At 40.5% G+C, this 24,669-nt stretch overlaps 1 protein-coding gene across 7 annotated transcripts in view, besides 1 other annotated feature; it reads left to right on the top strand.

The window, feature by feature from the left end:
* The window catches only part of SEC11A (SEC11 homolog A, signal peptidase complex subunit), a 46,596-nt gene that overhangs the window by 16,316 nt on the left and 5,611 nt on the right, over nt 1–24,669 (top strand). For 3 of the 7 annotated variants that reach the window (NM_001271922.2, NM_014300.4, NM_001271918.2), the window contains 3 exons: nt 8,180–8,289; nt 12,050–12,199; nt 18,992–19,111. In NM_001271922.2, coding sequence (NP_001258851.1) covers nt 8,180–8,289; nt 12,050–12,199; nt 18,992–19,111 — 380 coding nt within the window. Of the gene's footprint in view, nt 1–8,179; nt 8,290–12,049; nt 12,200–18,991; nt 19,112–19,854; nt 19,893–20,536; nt 20,599–24,669 lie in introns of all 7 variants that reach the window. The other 4 variants (NR_073518.2, NM_001271920.2, NM_001271921.2 and 1 more) reach the window with 4 other exon arrangements.
* Nucleotides 12,837–13,336: an enhancer, noted in NCBI's record as "H3K27ac hESC enhancer chr15:85229719-85230218 (GRCh37/hg19 assembly coordinates)". NCBI's record gives its function as "activates a minimal SCP1, AML or CMV promoter by ChIP-STARR-seq in primed H9 embryonic stem cells {active_cell/tissue: H9 hESC(primed)}" and the evidence as "EXISTENCE:reporter gene assay evidence [ECO:0000049][PMID:30033119]".

The following is a 24,669-nucleotide window of genomic DNA, read 5'->3' as shown; positions in this document are numbered from 1 at the left end:
CCTCCCTGAACTCCCAGTTCTTTTTTTTGTGTGTGTGTGTCTTTGTTTTTTTCTTTTTCCGTGGAGAACGGGGATCTTGCTGTATTGCCCAGGCAGGTCTTGAACTCCTGGGCTCAAGCTATCCTCCTGCCTCTGCCTCCCTAAGAGCTGGGATTACAGGCATGAGCCACCGTGCCTGGCTGAACTCCCCAGTTCTTTATCCTCAAGTCAGGGAGACTGCTAGGCTCTGTCTGCATTTCTCCTTTGCCCTGTGGTCTGGAAATTCTCCGATCTATAAGTTGAGGCAGTTGTAGGTCTCACCTTCTTTGTTTCCCCTTTCTAAGTAATCACAGTCCTTACTACCTGAACACAGTCATATAGCCAATGTCCGAAAACCCTTGTTTCATATATTTTGTCCAGTGTTTTAGTTATTTCAGGCAGGAAGGTAAATTTGGTCTCTTTAACTCATTTTGGCTAGAACAGCATATTTTGTTTTTTTTGTTTCCTGGTTTTTTTTTTTTTTTTTTTGGAGACAAGAGTCTTGCTCTGTTGCCCAGGCTGGAGTGCAGTGGTGTGATCTCAGCTCACTGCAACCTCTGCCTCCCAGGTTCAAGTCATCCTCCCACCTCAACCTCCCGAGCAGCTGGGACCACAGGCACGTGCCACCACGCCTGGCTAAATTTTGTATTTTTGGTAGAGATGGGGTTTCGCCATGTTGGCCAGGCTGGTCTCAAACTCCTGGCCTCAAGTGATCTGCCCTCCTTGGCCTCGCAAAGTGCTGGGAGTATAGGCATGAGCCACCACTCCTGGCCAGGACAGCATATTTTGGAAATTCACCTATGTTGCATGTGTCAATAGTTAATTCCTTTGTATTCCTGAGTAGTATTCCATTTTGTGGAAATACTACGATTTATGTACGGGTTGAGTATCTGTTATCTGAAATGCTTGGGGCCAGAAGTATTTTGGACTTTTTTTTTATTTTGGAATACTTCTATTTGCATTTTACCGGTTGAACATCCCAAATCTGAAATATCCAAAATCCAAAATGTTCCAGTGAGCCTGAATTCATCTGTTGATGGGCATTTGAGTTATTTCCGGTTTGAGGCTATTATGAGGGAAGCTGCTGTACATGTGTTTGTATATGTTAAATGTGTTTTCACTTGTCAGATTTTAAAAGATTTAACAGATTTTTAAAGTGAAAATTGTTTTAATGATGGTATGCTTATTTAGACTATTAGGAATTTAAAAAATTATCATTTAAGATTCATTCCAGGTCCTGCATTGATTTTATTGGGTCACAATAATAGTGTCCATTTGAAGATATTTCAATTTTTTCAGCACCGTCAATTTCACTTCTAGCTGCTATCAGTATACCTTCTGTAATATCTAGCTTCTGATTTCTCCTTTCATGAGTTAGAAAGCAGGAGAATTGTGATTATGGATTAATGAGTCCCTTAATTTGAGGTCTTAAGATAAATGGAATTTAAGACTTAGGCCAACTGCTATTTTGTAGCTCTAAGACACATTTTTGCTTCTGATTTCTATGAACATATCTTATATGTTGAACTTCAAATATCTCTTACAAGAATAGGAAGCACAATGGTGTATTTGATCATTGTGATCAGTAAATACACAGGATGTAGCTTCTAGATGGTAGCCCATTAAATTATAGTATTTAAAATTATTATCAACTTTTATCTTGCTGAATTTTCTGTGTTAGGTTTTTCTTAATTTCTTATTATATATTACTTAGAGTGGATTATAAATTGTCTTGTGGCTTATTCTAGTCACAGGAGTTTGGGGGAAGGCTCTACACAATACTTCCTAAAAAGAAAAAAAAGAATAGTAAACACAAATCCCTATATCACAGCTGCTGAGAGATATTATATAGAACTTTGATATCATTCTTTTCTAGTTTCACCTTGAGCATTGAAGAAATATTGTTCTGGTCATTTCTTAGAAAAAATAATAAGGCTATTCAATTCTGTGGTTATTATTCTACATATGTTGCAATGTCTTTATTAATAGTTAGCTTGATGTGGTCAGATATGAGGTTAGGTAGCTGCCACCTTATTTCTGCCAATACAGAAAGAGGCAACACTTTTTTTCCAATTATATACATTCCTAAGCATTCAGACATAGTGATAAAGAAAGTAGGGGCTAGGGAGGCAATATGTTTGACGTTTGAGTAAAGACTGTTGGCAGGAAAAGAGAGGGTAAAAAGAAAGGGAGAAGAGTATGACACTTTTCAATCTTTTGCTCAGATACAATGTTTGTTTTAGCAAATAGTGTGCTTCTGTCTAGGTTTTGGCTTGCAGATTGACTTAGCAGTATACAAATAGGTACCTTTTAAGGAACATACCAGTTATACATAATCAGGAACTTTAACCTCTTTCTCTAATAAAAATGAGGAAGATGATCTTGATGATTAGCTACATTTCACAATAATAATTCCATAATAAAAGTATTATATGTCTGAGAAAAAGGAGAAGGATAATTATGGCTGGGATAGTGACCTTTCTTGCAAGAACATAGGAAATTATATATTTTAACTTGTTCATTTTTATTGTATTATTATTTTTTGAGACAAGATCTCACACTGTTACCCATGCTAGAATGCAGTGGTGCTGTCACAGCTCACTACAGCCTCAACCTCCTGGGCTCAAGCAATCCTCCTACCTCAGCTTCTTAAGTAGTTGGGACTACAGGTGTGTGCCACCACACTCAGCTAATTAATTTTTTTTTTTTAAGAGACAGGGTCTTGCTATGTTGCCTTGGCTGGCACTTTTTTTTTTCTTAATTTTTAAATTTTGTTATTTTTTTTTTAGAGATAGGGATCTCACTATGTTGCCCAGGCTGAACTCGAACTCCTGGGCTCAAGCAGTCCTCCCACCTTGACCTCCCAAAGTGCTGGGATTATAGGCATAAGCCATTGCACCCGGTGGGCATTTTTCTTTTAAATAGCAGTTATCTTATTAAATGTCTAATTAGGTAACTTCTGCAACTCTATAACCGAGCCCTTTTGAAAATGGAAATTTTTTTTCCCCAACAAAATAGACGTGAACTGTGGGTTTTTGTTTTGTTTTGTTTTTAGTTTTTATTTACTTCAGTGTGAATTTTTGTTTTGCTGCCAAAATCTTAATGTGTTTGATATTGGGATATTGCCATAAACCCTGCTAAGAGTATATGTAACATAGGGTACATGCAAGTATTACCTTTTCAAAATCACACCCATTCTGAATCCTGGAACACATCTGACCCCCAAGGGTTTTGAGTAAGGGATTATGGAGCTATATACATTGTAGAATCCTACAACCCCTTCCTCAGAGGTTCTGAATTAGGGCCCAGAATCTATTGTCCTAACCAGTACTGTAGGTGATATTTTTAGTGCAGAAAGTTGGAAATTTGAGTCTTAACTGAATTCCTCACTGTTTATCTTCTGGTTGACATAATTGTGTCTTAGAAGCTAGTTTTCCTACTTCTATCATGTCCCACTCCACGTCTTCAATTCAGCCTTCAGAATAAGAAGACCCATTTTGTCTTTTAAAAAGCCACCATCTTGAAAACATAGAATTTAGGAGGCCAGAGTTCTAATAGTGCTACTCTGCCAGCCAGTAGACAAGCAGCCATGAGCATGTCGCTTAGCTTCTCTGTGCCTCAGTTTCCTTACCTGTAAATGTGAGTGTCAAAGTAGGTTTCAGATTATCCATGTGCTCACATCACTCTATTACTGAAAGAACAGCAAATATTTCTAATTGTCTCGGCGAAAATGTTCATATTTCCTTTTGTGGAAATTGATTAATTACATTGATTGAGTACACCGTGCTTCATTGGAATGCTAGAAGAATAGTGTTCTGGCCATTAGCGTGGACTTAAAAAAATAAACCAAAACAGTTTAGTTTTGAACAGGTGATACTTGCATATAGTAAAAACTGTAAAAACATGAAGTATGTATATCAGAAAATATTTTTCTTCCACCTTGACTCCTGGTTCCTTTTCTCCAGTTTCTTGTCTGTCTTTTCAGAGATTAACTGTGCATTTATAAGAATATGAAACTTGATCGCTTCTCGGCCTTTTGGCTAAGATCAAGTGTGAAGAATATGAAACTTGAAATGTTTTTAAAAAGTATGCAGGAAAAACAGGTTAATTGTAGGGAGAAAATAGAAAATGGTACAAGAGAGCTGGATTCCTCATCACAATTGTATTTATTTTTTGAGACACAGTCTTGCTCTGGCACCTGGGCTAGAATGCAGTGGGGCAATCATAGCTCACTGCAGCCTTTACGTCCTGGGTTCAAGTGATTCTCCTGCCTCAGCCTCCAAGGAGCTGGGACTACAGGCATGCACCACCACACCCAGCTAATTTTTCTTTTTTTTTTTTTGAGACGGAGTTTCGCCCTTGTTGCCCAGGCTGGAGTGCAATGGTGCGATCTCGGCCCACTGCAACCTCCGCCTCCCAGGTTCAAGCGATTCTCCCACCTCAGCCTCCCGAGTATCTGAGATTACAGGCATGTGCCACCAAGCCCAGCTAATTTTGTATTTTTAGTAGACATGGGGGTTTCTCCATGTTGGGCAGGCTAGTCTCGAACTCCCAACCTCAGGTGATCTGCTCGCCTTGGCCTCCCAAAGTGCTGGGATTACATGCGTGAGCCACCGAGCCCAGCCTCTGGATATTTTTTTTTAATCATCCGCATCTCTATTTAGTGTGCTAAATTTTCCTCTACCTTCTTTTTTTTTTTTTTTTTTTTTTTTTTTTTAGATGGAGTCTTGCTGTGTCGCCCAGGCTGGAATGCAATGGTGCGATCTCAGCTCACTGCAACCTCTACCTCCCGGGTTCAAGCAATTCTCCTGCCTCAGCCTCCCGAGTAGCTGGAATTACAGGCACACGCCACTGCGCCTGGCTAATTTTTGTATTTTTAGTAGAGATGGGGTTTCACCATGTTGGCCAGGCTGGTCTTAAACTCCTGACCTCGTGATCCGCCTGCCTCGGCCTCTCAAAGTGCTGGGATTACAGGCGTGAGCCACTGCACTCGGCCTTTTTTTGTATTTTTTTTTGTAGAGATAAAGGTCTTGCTTTCTGGTCTCGAACTCCTAGGCTCAAGTGATCCTCCCACCTCAGCCTCCCAAAGTGTTGGGATTACAGGCATGAGTCTCTGTGCCTAGCCCCTCATTGTACATTTTGAACATCATGCATTAACACCCTAGTATGAAAGTAAACAAACAGTTTTTAGAGTGGTTGGGGTAAACACCAGAATGAATAGCTAGAAGAGATGAAAATGGTTGATGTAGGTGGCCTGCCATGGCTAGGATATTGCTTTTTTTTACATATTCTTGTATGTATGTGTGTATACTGTTTTGATTAAAAATAACAATTGATTTAAAAAGGGAAGTAGAAAATGTAGATGATCAAAATGAAATAAATAAGAATTGCCTAGTATTACACCCCCAAATATAACAACTAACATTTATTTTATTTTCTTCCTTTTTTTTTTTGAGAGAGTCTTGCTCAGTTGCCCAGGCTGGAGTGCAGTGGTGCGATCTCAGCTTACTGCAACCCCCGCCTCCTGGGTTCAAGTGATTCTTGTGCTTCAGCCTTTTGAGTAGCTGGGATTACAGGCATGTCCCACCACACCCAGCTAATTTTTGTGTTTTTAGTAGAGATGGGGTTTCGCCATGTTGGCCAGGCTGGTCTCCTACTTCTGGCCTCAAGTGATCCACCCACCTCAGCCTCCCAAATTGCTGGGATTACAGATGTGAGCCACTGCACCTGGCTTCTTCCATATTTTCTATGCATTTTTTGGAATTTTTCAGAAAAAATTGAAAAAACAGTACAGGGAACACCTGTAATCTGTCACACAGATCCAACAATTATTAGCATTTTGGCCATATTTGTTCTATGTATACTTATGTGTGTGTGCATATATAGAATTTTCTTTTGCTGAATCACTTGAAAATGAGTTGCAGATATGAGAATTCACCCCTAACTACAACTACTAGCTAACTACTACTAATATGCATCTCCTGTGATAAGGATAGTATTCCACATAACCACAACACCATTATCACATAATTTAAGAAAATTAGAGGCCGGGTACAGTGGCTCACATCTGTCATCCCAGCACTTTGGGACGTCAAGGCGGGTGGATTGCTTGAGGCCAGGAGTTTGAGACCAGTCTGGCCAGCATGGTGAAACCCCGTCTCTACTAAAAATACAAAAATTGGCCGGGCGTGATGATGCATGCCCATTGTAATCCCAGCTACTTGGGAGGCTATGGCACGAGAATCACTTGAACTTGGGAGGTAGAGGTTGCAGTGAGCTGAGATCATGTCACTGCACTCCAGCCTGTGTGATAGAGCAAGACCCTGTCTCAAAAAAAAAAAAGAAGAGAAAAAAAGAAAACATGAATTTCCTAATGTCATTTAATATTCAAATCATATTTTGAGTTTCCCCAGTTCACCCCAAAATATTCAGATTTTTTCTTATGCTTTTTTTTTTTTGAACCAAGATCCAGCCAAAGTTTGTGCATTATTAGAACTGAATGAGAAGAAAAAAACAACAAAGAAACCAAAGTTTGTGCGTTACATTTGGTTGTTATATCTCTTTAGTACTTTTTAATCTAGAACAGTCTTCCACCTTTTTTTCCATGACATTGAATGACATTGGATTTTTGAAGAGACTAGGACAGTTGTGTAGAATGTCCACAAGCAAATATTAACAAAAGTGACCAGGCATGGTGGCTCATACCTGTAATCCCAGCCCTTTGGGAGGCTGAAGTAGGCGGATTGCTTGAGCCCAGGAGTTCAAGATCAGCCTGGGCAATATGGCGAAACCTCATCCCTACAAAACATACAAAAATTACCACGTCTGGCTACTCGGGAGGCTGAAGTGGGAGGATTGCTTGAGCCCAGGAGTTGGAGGCTGCAGTGAGCTGTGATTGTGCCACTGCACTCCAGCCTGGGCAACAGAGTAAGACCTTTTGAAACTTCTGTTTTTTCACTTTATATTACTAATATTTTGTTAGATCCACAGTTTCAGTCCTGTGTTTAAGTTTCTTCATAGTTGGACCTTAATATATGCTTTTTCAGATTTCTCCCAGTACTTTCCAGTACCAGCTTTTTCCTTGAACTATTTGCCATGGTGTCTAGTCATCCTCTCTATACTTTTTCCAGCCTTGGCCCAAAACAGTTAGCTCACATTATTTATCTTATCTGATTTTGTAATATTTTTTGCCTTTTTCCACGTGTTCTGAATTTTCTTTATTTGAAATTGAAATGCCGTCTGGTGTTTTATCTGTTTATTCAAGTCACAGAATTTTAGAGTTTGTTGGAGTACTGGAAATTTAGTAAGAAGGCTGACCTTCAAGTCTTGACTATGTGACTGATAAGCTTAGGACTTGGTGAAGTCTCCTCTTTTCGAGACAGTTTCCTTAACTGTAAAATGAGAAGGTAGAGTTAAATGTCATTAACTATTCCCATGATTATCAAGGGATAAGTATAGTAGAAAAGTAATAGAGGGCCGGGTGTGGTGACTCACGCCTGTAATCCCAGCCCTTTAGGAGGTGGAGGTGGGCAGATCATTTGAGGTCAAGAGTTCGAGACCAGCCTGATCAACATGGTGAAACCCAGTTTCTACTAAAAATTCAAAAAAATTAGCTGGGCGTGATGACGCATGCCTGTAGTCCCAGCGACTCGGGAGGCTGAGGCAGGAGAATTTCTTGAACCCAGGAGACAGAGGTTGCAGTGAGCTGAGATGGCACCACTGTACTCCAGCCTGGGTGACTGAGCAAGAGCGAGGCTCCATCTCAAAAAAAAAAAAAAAAAGAAAAAGAAAAAGTAATAGAGGAGTTCAGAAGCAGAGACAGATTACTCTTGGCTGGTAAGTAGCATGAGTGATAAATTTAAGCTGAATGATTATGGAGCCCAAATGAAATAACTTGTGTGAAATGTTCTTAAAATAATATGGTGTTATATAAATGTAACTGATGTTTTACCAAACAAAATGGAGCAGGGTGCTTTGGGTGAAAGAAGGGGGGCCTGTTTTGATCTGCTGATGGCATAATTATTATAATGTATTAAAGAATGTCTCAGAACTGTAGTTGTCCTAATAGTACTGCTTGAAACTTTCAAATTGTTACTGCTTTCAGTTGCTTTCCGAAGTGGGGATAATGGTGGATCTGATCTCTTCTGTTTTGTTCTTGCAGCTCTATTATCAAGTCCTAAATTTTGGAATGATTGTCTCATCGGCACTAATGATCTGGAAGGGGTTAATGGTAATAACTGGAAGTGAAAGTCCGATTGTAGTGGTGCTCAGGTAACAGTTTTTCCTTTCAAGGCATGGAATTGCATGGCATTACTTGGGAGAAAAATTGAGATATGAAATAACTGGCATATCATTCTCTTAGAAACTACTCTTTTCCAGAAAAGGGCCTGGAAGAAAATTAGTCACTACTTATCAGTTGTAAGAAATTCTCAGGCTGGGCACGGTGGCTTATGCCTGTAATCCCACCAATTTGGGATGCTGAGGCCGGTGGATTACTTGAGCTATGGAATTTGAGACTAGCTTGGGCAACGTGGTGAAACCCTGTCTCCACAAAAAATACAAAAATTAGCGGGTGTGGTGGCATGGACCTGTAGTCTCAGCTACTCGGGAGGCTGAGGTGGGAGGATCACCTAAGCCCTAGAGGTTGAGGCCTGCAGTGAGTTGTGATTGCACCACTGCACTTCAGCCTGGGTGACAGAGCGAGACCCTGTCTCCAAAAAAAAAAAAAAAAAGAGAGAAAAGAAATTCTTACTTTGTTAGGCATTTCCATTCAGAACTCCAAAGGGCTCATGACCTTTCTACAAAAAAGTTACCATGTTAAGGTTTGTTTTTGTCACATCCCTTAATAAAGTGTCTCGTTGTACTTTATTTTCCTGAAATTCTTCTGTCTTTTTATATTCCTCATTTTGATACACCAGGCCTGATATTTAGTTGTTAGTTCATTAGATGTTATAGTACTTCCACAAATTAAGAGTTTTTCTGTAGCATGTTCTCAATGTCAGGATAGAATCATCACTAATTATTTCCAAGTTTCCTGCTGACCTTTAAATATCACTTCTAAACTAGACTCCAGGAATTTTGAAGGCATTAATACCATCTCTTATGGTGACAAATAGTACTGAATTTTTTTTCTCCACTCTGCTTCCTTCCCTATCTTTGCACTCATACTCTTAGTGAATATTTTTTTTAAAGATGGGGTCTCGCTCTGTTACCCAGGATAGAGTGCAGTGGCGCCGTCATAACTCACTGCAGACTCCACCTACCGGTCTCAAGGGATCCTTCCATTTTAGCCTCCTGAGCAGGTGGGACTGCAGGCCTGCCCCACCATGCCTGGTTAATTTTTTAATTTTTTTGTAGAGACGGTGTATTAGTCCATTTTCATGCTGCTGATAAAGACGTACCCAAGACTGGGCAATTTACGAAAGAAAGAGGTTTACTGGACTTACAGTTCCACGTGACTGGGGAGGCCCCACAATCATGGCAGAAGGTGAAAGGCAGGTCTCACATGGCGGCAGACAAGAGAAGAGAGCTTTTGCAGGGGAACTCCCCTTTTTAAAACCATCAGATCTCGTGAGACTTATTCACTGTTACTAGAACAGCACAGGAAAAACCTGCCCCATGATTCAGTTACCTCCTGCTGGGTCCCTCCCAAAACACGTGGGAATTCAAGATGAGATTTGGGTGGGGACACAGCCAAACCGTAGCAGATAGGATCTCACTGTGTTGCCCAGTCTGGTCTTGAACTCCTGGGTTCAAGGATCCTCCCACCTTGGCCTCCCAACATGCTGGGATTACAAGCATGAGCCACCATGCGCAACCACTCTTAGTGATTTTAAAACCTAATTTAGTAACTCATTTTTAGAGAATTACCACTTGGTTGTTTGACTGAAACATTATAGGCTGGGTGTGGTGGCTCACACCTGTAATCCCAGCACTTTGGAAGGCCAAGGCGGGCAGATCACTTGAGGCTAGGAGTTCGAGACCAGCCTGGCCAGCATGTTGAAACCCCATCTCTACTAAAAATACAAAAATTAGCTGGGCGTGGTGGCAGGCGCCTGTAGTCCCAGCTACTCAGGAGGCTGAGGCAGGAGAATTGCTTGAACCTAGGAGGCGGAGATTGCAGTGAGCGGAGATCGCTCCATTGCACTCCAGCCTGGGTGACAATTGAAATTTTGTCTCAAAAAAAAAAAAAAAAAGAAAGAAAAGAAACATTACAGTTTTGTCATATTTTGGGCTTAATTTTGTAAGCCCAGATCTTTTCTGGAGATAATGGAGTGCATATTTAAAATAAATGGAATTATTAATATTATCTAGAATCTAAATAATAGTGCATTAACATTATCTAGAACCTAAGTAATAGTACTTAGATTACTCTTTTTTAACCAAATTATCGAGATATGATTGACATACAAAAAGCTGTACATATTTAATGTATACAACTTGATCAATTTGCAGGTAAGTATATTCCTGTGAAACCATCATCACAATCAAGCAAGTGAATATATTCATCACTTTCAAAAGTTTCTTCCCTTTCTATTTTTTTGTGATAAGAACATTTAACACAGGGCCTCCCTCCATCGCCCAGACTGGAGTGTGCCATCACACTTGGCTAATTTTTTTTTTACAGAGACTGAGTCTTGAACTCCTGATCTCAAGTGATCCTCCCCCCTCAACCTCCCAAGTGCTGGGATGATAGGCTTGAACCATCGTGCCTGGCCCCCAGTTTCTTTTCTTTTCTTTTTTTTCTTTTCTTCTTCTTCTTTTTTTTTTTTTTTTGAGACAGAGTCTCACTGTATTGCCCAGGCTGGAGTGCAATGGCGCAATCTCAGCCCATTCAACCTCCACCTCCTGGGTTCAAGTGATTCTTCTGCGTCAGCCTCCTGAGTAGCTGGGATTACAGGCGTGCGCCACCATGCTCACCTAATTTTTGTATTTTTAGTTGAGACTGGGTTTCACTGTGTTGATCAGGCTGGTCACGAACTCCTGACCTCAGGTCACCTGCCCACCTCGGCCTCCCGAAGTGCTGGAATTACAGGTGTGAGCCACCGCACCTGGCTGAGATTTTTTAAAAGTCCCTCAGGTCATTCCAATGTGCAGCAAAATTTGAGACCCACTGCCATATCCCTTTACATAGAGGGAAGAGAGTCTTTAAACAAAAGTGTTTGGAGTTTGTACTTATTCCTGCGTTGAACTTTATTTCTTGTCTTTCTATTCTTACTTAAGCTGTTGTTATAGAAAACCGGAGCTTGAGTTTCTGAAAAAGACTGATGGGCTACTTCTTTATAGATAAAAAGGGGTTCATAAATTAGTGCAAATATCTTAGGACCTTTTCAGCACTTGGCGTAGGATGGAAGAGGTAAGAGGTAAGAAGATACTCTGTAGAAGTTAGTCTTACTTGTTACCATGGAATTGAATCTTTTCCTGGCTTCGGAAATTCTTAGGCAAAAATCTCTGCTTATTCCTTGGTTTTCTTTTTTTCTCTTTTTAAAATAAGTAAATTGATAACACAAGCTTTATCTCTGTAGCTGGCTGTTCCTTGACTTGATGAGCCATTTTTCCTTCTAAATGAGTTGAACATATAAGGTCATCTTGGCTGTTATCTTTATAAATGGCAGAGGAAGATGATCCAGTTCTCATTTGCATATCTGAATATGTTTAGTGTTTTCAGATGAAGTGAGAATAAGGGCATTGTTTTAAAGTTCATTCTTTTATATTCTGTTTGTCATTTGAAATTTTAAAAGGTTAAGGAATTAGTAACACTGACCTTTTCAAGATTTAAGCTTCTTTGACTAGTGATACTTGAAATGGAACTAGTTAGTGAAGGTTAATAACTAAAAAAAAATCCTTTGGCGTAACTTTTTAGTCTGAGGAAACCATATTTTGAGAACAATACACATTTCTGTTGATATAGTTGTTAGGGTATTGAGTATACTCCCAAAGTGATATTTTTTATTTTGTTGAATATCTAATTTTGAAAGTACATTTAATCTCATACTTTCTTTTTGCTGTTATATTCTTCTTTCCCTTCCAGTGGCAGCATGGAACCTGCATTTCATAGAGGAGATCTTCTCTTTCTAACAAATCGAGTTGAAGATCCCATACGAGTGGGAGAAATTGTTGTTTTTAGGATAGAAGGAAGAGAGATTCCTATAGTTCACCGAGTCTTGAAGATTCATGAAAAGTATGTGCAAAGTATAGCATCTTTGTTTCTAAGTGCTTTTGTTTAAGTGTTTGTGGTATTTAGTTTTGATAGCCTAAAGATTGTAAAACAGTGAGGAACCTCTAGGCCTTCTTCCAGTCCATTTTTATGAATGCTGGAAAGTTTAGTGAACATTTTGAAAACTGTAAATAATTATTTATTAGTTCATTTCTTTCCCTGAAGGTTTTTCCAGAGGTTTTTCTTTGTTCCCTTTTACTTCCCAACCTGTCAGTGACTCTGTATATAATTCCAAAAAACTATGACATAAAGATAGATCCTAAATAGAATCTTCTGGTTGGGCACAGTGGCTCACGCCTACAATCCCAGTACTTTGGGAGGCCAAGGTGAGAGAATGGCTTGAGCTCAGGAGTTTGAGGTCAGCCTGGGCAACATGGTGAGACTCCTTCTCTATTAAAACAAAACAAAACCAAAAAAGGCCAGGCATGGTAGCTCACGCCTGTAATCCCAGCACTTTGGGAGGCCGAGGTGGGTGGATCACCTGAGGTCAGGAGTTCGAGACCAGCCTGGCTAACATCGTGAAACCCTGTCTCTACTAAAATATAAAAATTAGCCAGGTGTGGTGGTGGGCGCCTGTAATCCCAGCTACTTGGGAGGCTGAGGCAGGCGAATTGCATGAACCTGGGAGGTGGAGGTTGCAGTGAGCCAAGATTGCAGCACTGCACTCCAGCCTGGGCGACAGAGCCAGACTCCATCTCAAAAAATAAATAAATAAATAAATAATTAGCTGGGCGTAGTGGCATGTGCCTGTAGTCCCAGCTAATTGGAGGACTGAGGTGGGAGGATTGTGTGAGCCCAGGAGTTTGAGGCTGCAGTGAGTCGTGTTTGTGCCACTGCACTCCAGCCTGGGCGACCGAGTGAGACCCTGTCTCAAAAAAGAAAAAAGAAAGAAATGAAAGAAAAGGGAGGCATCCTGTATGACACACAGACGAGAAGTGAAAGAGTAGGCATGATTTCGGTTCTTTTTTTGTTTGTTTTTTGAGACAGTTTCCCTCTGTTACCCAGGCTGGAATGCAGTGGCGCTATCTCGGCTCACTGCAACCTCCACCTCCCAGGCTCAAGTGATTCTCATGCCTCAGCCTTCTGAGTAGCTGGGATTACAGGCATGTGCCACCATGCCCAGCTAATTTTTGTATTTTTAGTAGAGACAGGGTTTCACCTTGTTGGCTAGGCTAGTCTCGAACCCCTGGCCTCAAGTGATCCGCCTGCCTTGGCCTCCCAAAGTGCTGGGATTACAGGCATGAGCCATTGCACCTGGTGGATTTCAGTTCTTGAAAGAAGAGGAAACTGTCAACCATTGCTTTTTGAAATTCCTATAAACATTCTAGTTTAGAAGAGTTCTTTCTTCATTGGTGAAATAAAGATATGACTGCTTATTTTTTTTTAATAAAATCAGATATCAGTATGTATGTGGAAATACTATAATTTAAAGTGACATTATATTATTGACTGGGAAGGAATAACTTAAATTTTTAGAAATTGTTTGGGGCCGGGAGCAGTGGCTCATGCCTGTAATCTCAGCACTTTGGGAGGCTGAGGCGGGCAGATCACCTGAGCTCAGGAGTTCAAGACCAGCCTTGCCAACATGGCAAAACCCATCTCTACTAGAAGTATAAAAATTAGCCAGGCGTGGTGGTGGGCACCTGTAACTCCAGCTACTCAGGAGGCTAAGGCAGGAGAATCACTTGAACCTGGGAGGCTAAGGTTGCAGTGAGCTGAGATCACGCCACTGCATTCCAGCCTGAATGACAGAGTGAGACTCCATCTCAAAAAAAAAAAAAAAAAAAAAAAGAAATTTATTTTGGAATTACAGAGGTTTATTCAGCATGGATAGTGTTTTCCAGATTCTGAAAGTGGATTTGTGTTGTTCATTCTCAGCAATGCCTGTTGTGAACAAAGCTGAACCAACTTTCCCCTAAATATATCAGAGAGAATCAAATTAAGCTCAGGCCTTGTTTAAGCTGGAGGAAAATTTCTCCATTTTAATTTGTGATCCTTTGAAATTGAGTGAGTTTGGCTGGGTGTGGTGACTCATGCCTGTAATCCCAGCCCTTTGGGAGGCTGAGGCGGGTGGAGTGCTTGAGCGCAGGAGCTCTAGACCAGCCTGGGCGTCTAGACCAGATGGTGAAACCCTGTCTCTACAAATAAAAAAAAAAAAAAAAAATGAGTCAGGCACGGTGGTGTGCACTTGTAGTCCCAGCTGCTCAAGAGGCTGAGGTAGGAGGATCACTTGAGCCCAGGAGGTTGAGGCTGCAGTGAGCCGAGATCATGCCACTTTATTCTATCCTGGGCAACAGAGTGAGACTGTATCTCAAAAAAAGAAAAAAGAAAAGAAAAAGAAATTGAATGAGTCATAGACTTAAGTTTAAAACTGCTTCTGGGCAGATTCATAGACAGAGAATATATTAATTGGAAAATCCTTAAATTTTTAAAATAATTTTGTACAGAATTCTGATGATTTTAAATATGGTACTTGTAATCTGGGGTTTTTGGTGATTTATTTCAGACTCTTGAGATACCTTCAACTTGCAGGCCTGTGTAGATAACAGACCCTGTTAATATTCAGAAATTTTCAATTTTCTTTTTTTCTTTTGGGGAGACTGAAATATCTGGTCAGGATTACCATTTGGGTTTTTTTTGTTTTTTGTTTTTTCTTTTGAGACGGAGTCTCGCTCTTTCGCCCAGGCTGGAGTTCATGGTGCGAGTTTGGCTCACTGCAACCTCTGCCTTCTGGGTTCAAGCAATTCTCCTGCCTCAGCCTCCCAAGTAGCTGGGACTACAGGCGCCTGCCACCACGCCCAGCTAATTTTTGTATTTTTAGTAGAGGCAGGGTTTCACCATGTTGGCCAGACTGGTCTTGAACTCCGGACCTCAAATGATTCACCCACCTCTGCCTCCCAAAGTGCAGAGATTACAGGCATGACCCACTGCACCCAGCCCCATTTGGTTTAATAGTATTAACATTGTTCTTAAATATGGGGACAAATAATATTCAAAATGTATGTATTTAGTAGGTTCATCCTATAGGAGGTATATTAGTCTGTTCTCATGCTGCTAATAAAGACATACCTGAGACTGGGTAATTTATAAAGGAAAGAGGTTTAATGGACTCACAGTTCCACATGGCTGGGGAGGCCTCACAATCAGAAGGCAAAGAAGAAGCAAATCCATGTTGTACATGTCGGCAGGCAAGAGGTCATGTGCAGGGGATCTCCCATTTATAAAACCATTGGATCTCATGAGACTTATTCACTATCATGAGAACAGCTTGGGAAAGACCTGCCCCCATGACTCAATTACCTCCCACTGGGTACCTCCCATGACCTGTGGTAATTATGGGAACTACAGTTCAAGATGAGATTTGGGTAGGGACCACAGCCAAACCATATCAGGAGATATTATAATTGGATGATACTGAACACTGGCATGTGATTAAGTATTTGGAAAGAGAAATTTTACCATTGGGTGACTTAATCCTTAGCTTTGCTTTTCCCATGCAGATGGATACATTATTCTGTACCCATTTAGCTTTTGGGGTCTTATTTTTTTCTCATCTGTAAAGTGGTTATTTCCTTCTTCCTAATTTCACAGTATTGTGATGGGTGAATTAAATTCTAAACTCTTTGATCTCCCTAGAAGTAGATAATATTAAATATTTGGTCCTTGTTCCAGCAAGGGAAAAATCCTATGTAAATATGCCTTCACTCAGTATTTTGAGCCTATGACTTGTGAAATGCTGGAGTAGGACTTAATAGGTCTAGTAAGATCAGGTGCGGTGGCTCAGGCCTGTTATCCCAGCACTTTGGGAGGCCGAGGAGGGCGGATCACCTGAGGTCAGGAGTTCCAGACCAGCCTGACCAACATGGTGAAACCCTGTCTCTACTAATAATACAAAAATTAACTGGGCATGGTGGTGCACGCCTTTAATCCCAGCTGCTCGGGAGGCTGAGGTTGCAGTGAGCCAAGATCGCGTCATTGCACTCCAGCCTGGGTGACAAGTGCGAAACTCCGTCTCAAAAAAAAAAAATAGGTCTAATAAGAGCCGGTTGCCACCAGAGAATATTTGTTTCACTAAGTAGATGAAGAATATCTATGCTTTTTCAAAAAAACTATAGTGATAACTCCTGATTACATCCCAGAAGGGGAAATTGGGTGTGTTAGTTAGTTTGTTTGTTTGTTTGTTTGTTTGTTTGTTTGTTTGTTTTGCCAGCAAATCAAGTCTTTGGTAATAGTCCAGATCTCTCTAGCACCCTTTCCTTTTTCTGGGGAGTTCCCCTTTTCCTGGATTTTTATCTCCTCATATCTGATTTGCCTTTTCTGCATGTGTGGAGTTGATATTGTTTTCTGGGTTGAATTCAGTTTTCCTTCCTGCTGTTCCTGACTTTCACTCTTGCAGTGAGCCCCTCCTAGCACCTGTCCTCTTTTACCCTTCAGAATTTTTCCTTTTTTCACTTACTGAATTGTCAGCTACAGATTATTTTTCTCTGTATATATTTGCATTTTTTCTAACTGGCATCTTATTTTTAATGTGACTGTTTGCACTTAACCATCTTTGGTGTTTGCAACACCTCCCAATTTAGTTTCCTCTGCAGATTTAACATCTAGTGAGCCAGTTTCCGGCTTAGAATCTAAGTGGATATTAGCCCATAGAAACCTGAAGCTAATTTTCTTCTTTCTACTACAGTGGTCAATCCAAATGCACTTTGAATTAATTTTCAGCTAGTCTTTATCAACTGTAAAATATACTTTGCTTTCAATTAAATTTTAAAATTACTAGAAACTTCATGGTTCTTTAGTAGAATTAAGCTAATAATTTTCTGATCAACAAAATGCTGTTCCTGGCTGGGCACGGTGGCTCACGCCTGTAATCCTAGCACTTTGGGAGGCCGAGGTGGGCAGATCATGAGGTCAGGAGTTCCAGACCAGCCTGGCCAACATGGTGAAACCCTGTCTCTACTAAAAATACAAAAAAAATAGCTGGGTGTGGTGGCGGGCGCTTGTAATCCTAGCTACTTGGGAGGCTGAGGCAGGAGAATCGCTTGAACCCAGGAAGCAGAGGTTGCAGTGAGCCGAGATCATGCCATTGCACTCCAGCCTGGGCGACAGTGTGAGACTCTGTCTCAAAACAAAACAAAACAAAACAAAAAAACAAAATACTGTTCCTGTAAACCCTGGCATATCTGAAGAATTGAGGTATTTCTTCTTTGAAAGCTAACATTTTTTCCTAATATAAAAGTAATTCATGTTTGTTAGAGAAAAAAGAAGATAAAGGTAATCTAAAGAAAGCCATAGATAGCCACTGTTTATCCATTGGTCTGTTTATCCATTGGTCTGTATTATTTTAGATCTTGTCTAATACCTTTTTTTTGCTTTTATTTTCTGAATTTGGGGAGTTTCTGACATGTACAGAAGGGTATGAGGAACCCCCATGTATCTATCATCCCTGTCCCAGTGATGATTAATATATAGCCAATTCTGCTCCATCTCTACTCCCACCTCTTCCCCTTCCTGTTATTATTATTTGTTATTCAAGACAGTGTCTCACTCTGTCTCCAAGGCTAGAGTGCAGTGACGCAATCACAGCTCACCGCAGCCTCAATCTCCCTGGGCTTAGGTGATCCTCTTAACTCAGCTGGAACCACAGGCGCACACCATCATGCTTGGCTAATTTTTTTGTATTTTTTGCTTTGCCATGTTGCCCAGGTTGGTCTTGAACTCCTGGGCTCAAGTGATCCACCCACCCACCTTGGCCTCTTAAAATGCTAGGATTACAGGAGTGAGCCACTGCCCCTGGCCAAACAATTCTTTAGTATCATCAAGTTTTTGATATTTGTTCAAATCCCCAATTGTGTCATAACTTTCTTAAACAATTTGTTTGAATCTGGACCCAGATAAAGTTCTCAGCTGCAATTAGTTGATGTGGCTTTATACTCTCTTGTTTTTTTGTTTTTTTCGTTTTGGGATGGAGTCTCGCTCTGTCGCCCAGGCTTGAGTGCAGTGGCGTGATCTCGGCTCACTGCAACCTCCGCCTCCTGGGTTCAAGTGATTCTCCTGCCTCAGCCTCCTGAGTAGCTGGGACTACAGGCACCCACCACCATGCCCAGCTTATTTTTGTATTTTTAGTAAAGACAGGGTTTCGCCATGTTGGCCAGGCTGGTCTCGAACTTCTGACCTCAGGTGATCCGCCCACCTTGGCCTCCCAAAGTGCTGGGATTACAGGCGTGAGCCACCGCGCCTGGCCGTCTCTTGTTTAATCTGTAGGTTACTTCCCTAACTTTCTTTGTTCCTTGCAAGTCATTAGTTGGAGAAACTGGGTTATTCTGTAGTTTCCCATAGTCTGTATCTTGCCAATTATATCCTGTGAGATAGTTTATTGTGTTCCTTTGTTCTTTGTGTTTCCAGAAAATTGGTAGTGTGTATTTATTTTAATATAAAAATGAGATTGTACTGTACATGCTATTTTGTATTCTTTTCTTCACTTAATAAAATTTGTACAATCTTGTCATTCTTCTATACCATTATTTTAATGTTTACATAATATTTGAGCTCCTTAATATTGGATCTTTAGTTTGTTTTTAGTCGTTTATGAACAACACAGCTATTAACATTCTTGTAGCTCCATAAATAATTATTTCGACACTAGAATGGTGAAAAGATACCCCAGTGCCACAAACATGTTTGGTTAACAAGAACAGATTTTGTGCTTTAAATGCCATGAAGGTATTTGATGACTTGGGTTTCCTTTACTCTTTTAAGGCAAAATGGGCATATCAAGTTTTTGACCAAAGGAGATAATAATGCGGTTGATGACCGAGGCCTCTATAAACAAGGACAACATTGGCTAGAGAAAAAAGATGTTGTGGGGAGAGCCAGGGGGTAAGTATAGAGGGGAGCATCTCAAACTTTTTATATCACTTGAAGTGTGGCCCTCTCAATCATATTATTTGATCATACACAGTTGAATATAGAGATTTGGTTCTGGTTCCACCAAATCACCCTTGTGTCCTTTGAAAATTTTGCTTCTTAAAAAGTGTCTAAAATTTCAGGTATACTACTCCAAAGGTGAGGAACTGGGTGGGGTGCAATAAAAGAATAGAATACTAGTGATGAGATGGTGAATTGGATGTGACAATTTTAAAAAATGTGTTCACTTATTTGGTTCACTCAAGAAATAGTGGGCACCTTCCATGTGCTCTTACGTCCACACTATGCTAGCCTCTGGGGGTCTAGAGCACTATTAATCCTGCCTCATGAAAGTTACATTTCTTTTTTTTTTTTTCTTTTTTTTGAGATGGAGTCTTGCTCTGTCACCCAGGCTGGAGTGCAATAGCGCGATCTCAGCTCACTGCAGCCTCCGCCTCCTGAGTTCAAGCGATTCTCCTGCCTCAGCCTCCCGAGTAGCTGGGATTACAGGCGCCCGCCACCATGCCCGGCTAATTTTTTTTTTTTTTAGTAGAGATGGCGTTATATTTATATTTCTTAAGAAGTACTAAGTCAATAACTCAAAAGTGTTCATCCAAATTAGTTTTATCATGTTAATTTAATCCATAATATTTCTAGTCTTGAAATTGATGAGGTTGAATGAAATTAAAAAGTTATATTAAGCCTGTTTGTTTCAGATTTTATCAGGAGAACAGTTCAGTGGAGGACAGGAATTGTAAGTTGTTGGTATTAAGGAAGTATGGCATTGTTGCTCCCTTAATGTAATTAATAGTATTAACAATAACTCACGTTTATTAGGGCTTATTGTGTACCAGAGACTCATTCTAAGTGCTTTACAAGTATTACCACATTTTAACCTCAGAACAACCCTAATATTCCCATTCTACAGATGAGGAAACATAAATGAGTTAGGTTATGTATCTAAGATTATACTGATGGTCGTAAGTGGCTGGCTGCATAGTCCACCTTACCATCATACAAAAATTACTAGCGTAACATTTCTGAAATGGATAGTTGCTAATTCTCACTAGTTAGATGCCACATGGCACTTTTGCCACTGTCAGAACCTCTGCTCCTTTTGACCTAGAACAGACTGTATGGATACAGAGTTATTACACCAGTAAGCAGGTCTGAGATACGCAGTTCCCATAGAGAAGGAAGTATGAGTTGCTAAGTGAAAGCTTCCTCAGTTACAGCACGAGAGATGCTCAGTTTGGGGCCAAAGAGATCAGATCAGAACAGGTATCATTGTGCTTTGCCTGCTGCAGAGCTGTGGTTGTTATTGTTGTTTTAATATGTCCCCGCTTTAAGGAACTTTTCCTTTGATGGAGCTAAAAATACTTTTATAATCCAAATTAGGTCATCAGTGCTTCTGAGAAATACTAGTCCCCATCTTCCTCAGTTCCCAAGATGCTGCTAATGTGATTATTTAAACTCTCCAATCTCTTTGAGTCTTTGTTTTTCCTCAAATTATAAATGTACAGATTCATGTAGAAACATAAGAAAATATCAATAATCAAAAAGCAAAGTCACTTCTTGTCTCCTTTTTCTTGATCTCCATAAATATTTACTATTAACTTTTTGGTTTATATTAGCCTTTGTGTGTAGAGATAAAAATATTAATGAGTACTTTTTTTTGCCTTTTTTTTTTTTGGAGACAGTCTTGCTCTGTCACCCAGGCTAGAGTGTGGGTGGCATGATCTCAGCTCACTGCAACCTCTGCCTCCTGGGCTTAAAAGATTCTTGTGCCTCAGCCTCCCGAGTAGCTGGGATTACAGGTGTGTGTCACCACACCCAGCTAATTTTTTGTATTTTTAGTAGAGATGGGGTCTCGATATGTTGCCCAGGCTGGTCTCAAACTCCCAGCTTCAAATGATCCACCTGTCTTGGCCTCTCAAAGTGCTGAGATTACAGGCATGAGCCACGGCACCCAGCCCTAGTATGTACATATTTATACAAACATAAAACGCATTTTGTGTGTGAAAGGAGAATGGTCACACTATCTTATAACCCCTTTTTTACCCAAAAAATTACTAGCGTATTTACAAATCAATATATTTATCATCATATCATCATTTTCAAAGCTGTATGCTATTCCACTGTATGGAAAGACCATATACTCTATCCTATGGATAGAACATATAGATTTTATTCAGTCAGTCTCCTGTTGTTAGGTATTCTGATTGTTTCCAGCTTTTTTATTGCGAACAATGTTATGATAAATATCCTTATTATGTATATCTCAGCATTTCTGCCCAATCATTCTTCAGAGTAAATTCCTAGAAGTGGAATTACTGGGTGAAGCATACTCATATGTTAAGGCTTTTGACAAATTTTGCCAAGCCTGTTTCATTTATACTCCTGCTAGTACAACTGAGTGTTCCTTTATCTGGGCCTTCTTTTTTTTTTCTTTTCTTTTTTTTGAGGCAGAGTCTTGCTCTTTTGCCCAGGCTGGAGAGTCTTGCTCTGTTGCCCAGGCTGGAGTGCAGTGGAGCAATCTCAGCTTATTGCAACCTCTGCCTCTCAGGTTCAAATGATTCTCATGTCTCAGCCACCCAAGTAGTTGGGATTACAGGTGTGTGCCACAATTCCTGGCTAATTTTTTATATTTTTAGTAGAGATGGGTTTTCGCCATGTTGGCCAGGCTGGTCTGGAACCCCTGGCTTCAAGTGACCTGCCTACCATGGTCTCCTAAAGTGCTGGGACCACAGGCATGAGCCACCACATCTGGCCTGGGTCTTGATTCTTAAGTGTTTATTACAGCTCTGTCTGCTCACTCTGGCCCATTGGTTGGGTAAAAGATGCATCATCCTACGAAAGGTTAGGGGAGCTTTCACTCAACTTGTCTTCTGGACAATTTTTGAAAAAATTCTGGGCTGGGTGCGGTGGCTAACGCCTGCAATCCCAGCACTTTGGGCGGCTGAGGCGGGCGGATCACAAGGTCAGGAGATCGAGACCATCCTGGCTAACACAGTGAAACTCCGTCTCTACTAAAAATACAAAAAAATTAGCTGGGCGTGGTGGCGGGTGCCTGTAGTCCCAGTGACTCTGGAGGCTGAGGCAGGAGAATGGCATGAACCCGGGAGGTGGAGCTTGCAGTGAGCCGAGATCACGCCACTGCACTCCAGCCTGAGTGACAGAGCGGCACTCTGTCTAAAAAAAAAAAAAAAAGAAAAAGAAAAGAAAAAATTCCACACTATTTAATGCTATTTTTAAAATCCCAACATAGAAACTATAGACCATTTTGAGCTGTTACTTAAAAAAATGTAATAGTCTAGTACTCTCTGCATTAAGGAAGTTTCTGTAGAAAAAAAAAACCTAAGACATGAACAGCAGAAGCACAGAATCTTAACTATATAAATTTACTTTCCATTGATTGTACCTCTACTGAGCTTGACACGTAATGGAACATAACACTTTCTTTTGTGGAAATTGTGTTTATAAAACACTAAACTGGTATTTCAAAGTCAGGATGTACACAAATCTTAAGAATAGAGCTTTTCCACAGGCAAGTCTGTTACTGTAGTACATACGTCTTCATGCTTTTTTTTTTCTTGAGACAGAGTCTCACTCTATCACCCAGGCTGGAGTGCAGTGGCAGAATCATGGCTCACTGCAACCTCCACCTCCCAGGCCCAAGCAATCCTCCCACCTCAGCCTTCTCAGTAGCTAGGATCACAGGTGCATGCTATCACACCTGGCTAATTTTTTTAATTTTTGTAGAGATTGGCTCTCCTTGTGTTGCCCAGGCTGGTCTTGAACTCCTGGGCTCAAGCAGTCCTCCACCTTGGCCTCCCAAAGTCCTGGGGTTACAGGTGTGAGCCACTGTGCCTGGCTTCCTTTATGCTTTTTTTTTTTTTGAGATGGAGTTTTGCTCTTGTTGCCCAAGCTGGAGTGCAATGGTGCTATCTTAGCTCACTGCAACCTCTGCCTCCCAGGTTCAAGGGATTCTCCTGCCTCAGCTTCCTGAGTAGCTGGGATTACAGCTTCCTGAGTAGCTGGGATTAGCCATGCCCAGCTAATTTTTTGTATTTTCAGTAGAAACAGGGTTTCACCATGTTAGCCAGGCGGTCTCGAACTCCTGACATCAGGTGATCTGCCCGCCTCGGCCTCCCAAAGTGCTGGGATTACAGATGTGAGCCACTGCACTCCGCCTCCTTTATGCATTAAAAAAAAAAAAAATTTTTTTTTTTTTGAGACAGAGTTTCACTCTTGTTGCCCATGCAACAGCATGATCACGGCAACCCCCACCTCCCAGGTTCAAACAATTCTCCTGCCTCAGCCTCCCAATTAGCTGGGATTACAGGCATGTGCCACCATGCCCACCTAATTTTTTGTATTTTTAGTAGAGATGGAGTTTCACCATGTTGGCCAGGCTGGTCTCTCTCTTTTTTTTTAACAGCTGCACACTAAAAAAATTTTATGTTGAGGCCTAAGGCTCTAAATTAAAATAATTTAAAAAAACTTTTATTGAGATATAATTCACATATATTAGAATATAAAATTCACCATCTTAAAGAGTACAATTCAGTGGGTTTCAGTATATTCACAAGATTGTGCAACCATCACCACTATCTAATTCCAGAACATTTCTATCACCCCAAAAATAAAACTCAGTACTCATTAGCAGTCACTCCCCATCCTCTACTTCCTGTAGCCTCGGACAGCCACTAATCTGCTTTCTGTCTTTGTGCATTTCCCTATTCTGGACTTTTCATATAAGCAGAATCATACAATGCGTAGTCTTTTGTGTCCAGCTTCTTTCACCTAGCATAATGTTTTTAAGGCTTATTCATGTCGTAGCATGTAATAAAAACAATTTTAGAAAATGAAACTAATACTGAACCAATTAAGTATTAATAAAGGTGATTTCTTTCTAAACTCAGGAAGTTGAAAAATTCAAGAGCACCCATTAGTTAAGAAGGAATAGAAAGCAGCAGGTGAAAAGGGTGAAAGATTGGCAGAGGATCGGGGAACAGAAATGTTGAAAATGGAAAGAAGAATTAAAAATATATAAGGAAGGAGTAGAGTAATTGAGCTCTCTGTTAACTGAAATCAGTTTTATGGATAAGACTTTTTGAATGTACTTCTTACTTGAAACAAGTCATTCTAGAAACAAGATGATCCTTTTCTGGTCATCGCATATTCTCTTACTCTCTCATTTAGTTGCTGCTGGATTTCAGACTTCCCAGATATAGACCCCTTTTGATATTTGACAGAATTGTGCTGGGGTCTCTTCTTAATTTTTGTGGCATCTTTTCTTTACTGTTTGTTTGGCCTTTTGTCTAATGATCTCTATGAGCATCAGGAGACAGTGCTTTCTTCTGAGGCTACTTCCTCAGCAGTACCTTTGATCCCAAGAATTCCCACGGAAATGTATTTAACTATATGAAATGCATTTTACCTTCTAGATATTAACTTGGCACAGGCTAGTGTTGGAGTTGGCTTTGTGGATGGCATTCATTTTACTTACTTTAAACCTCCTGCTTATT

This window comes from Homo sapiens, chromosome 15, assembly GCF_000001405.40.
Source record: "Homo sapiens chromosome 15, GRCh38.p14 Primary Assembly".
Lineage (NCBI taxonomy): Eukaryota > Metazoa > Chordata > Mammalia > Primates > Hominidae > Homo > Homo sapiens.
This window is presented reverse-complemented; position numbering and strand designations above follow the sequence as displayed.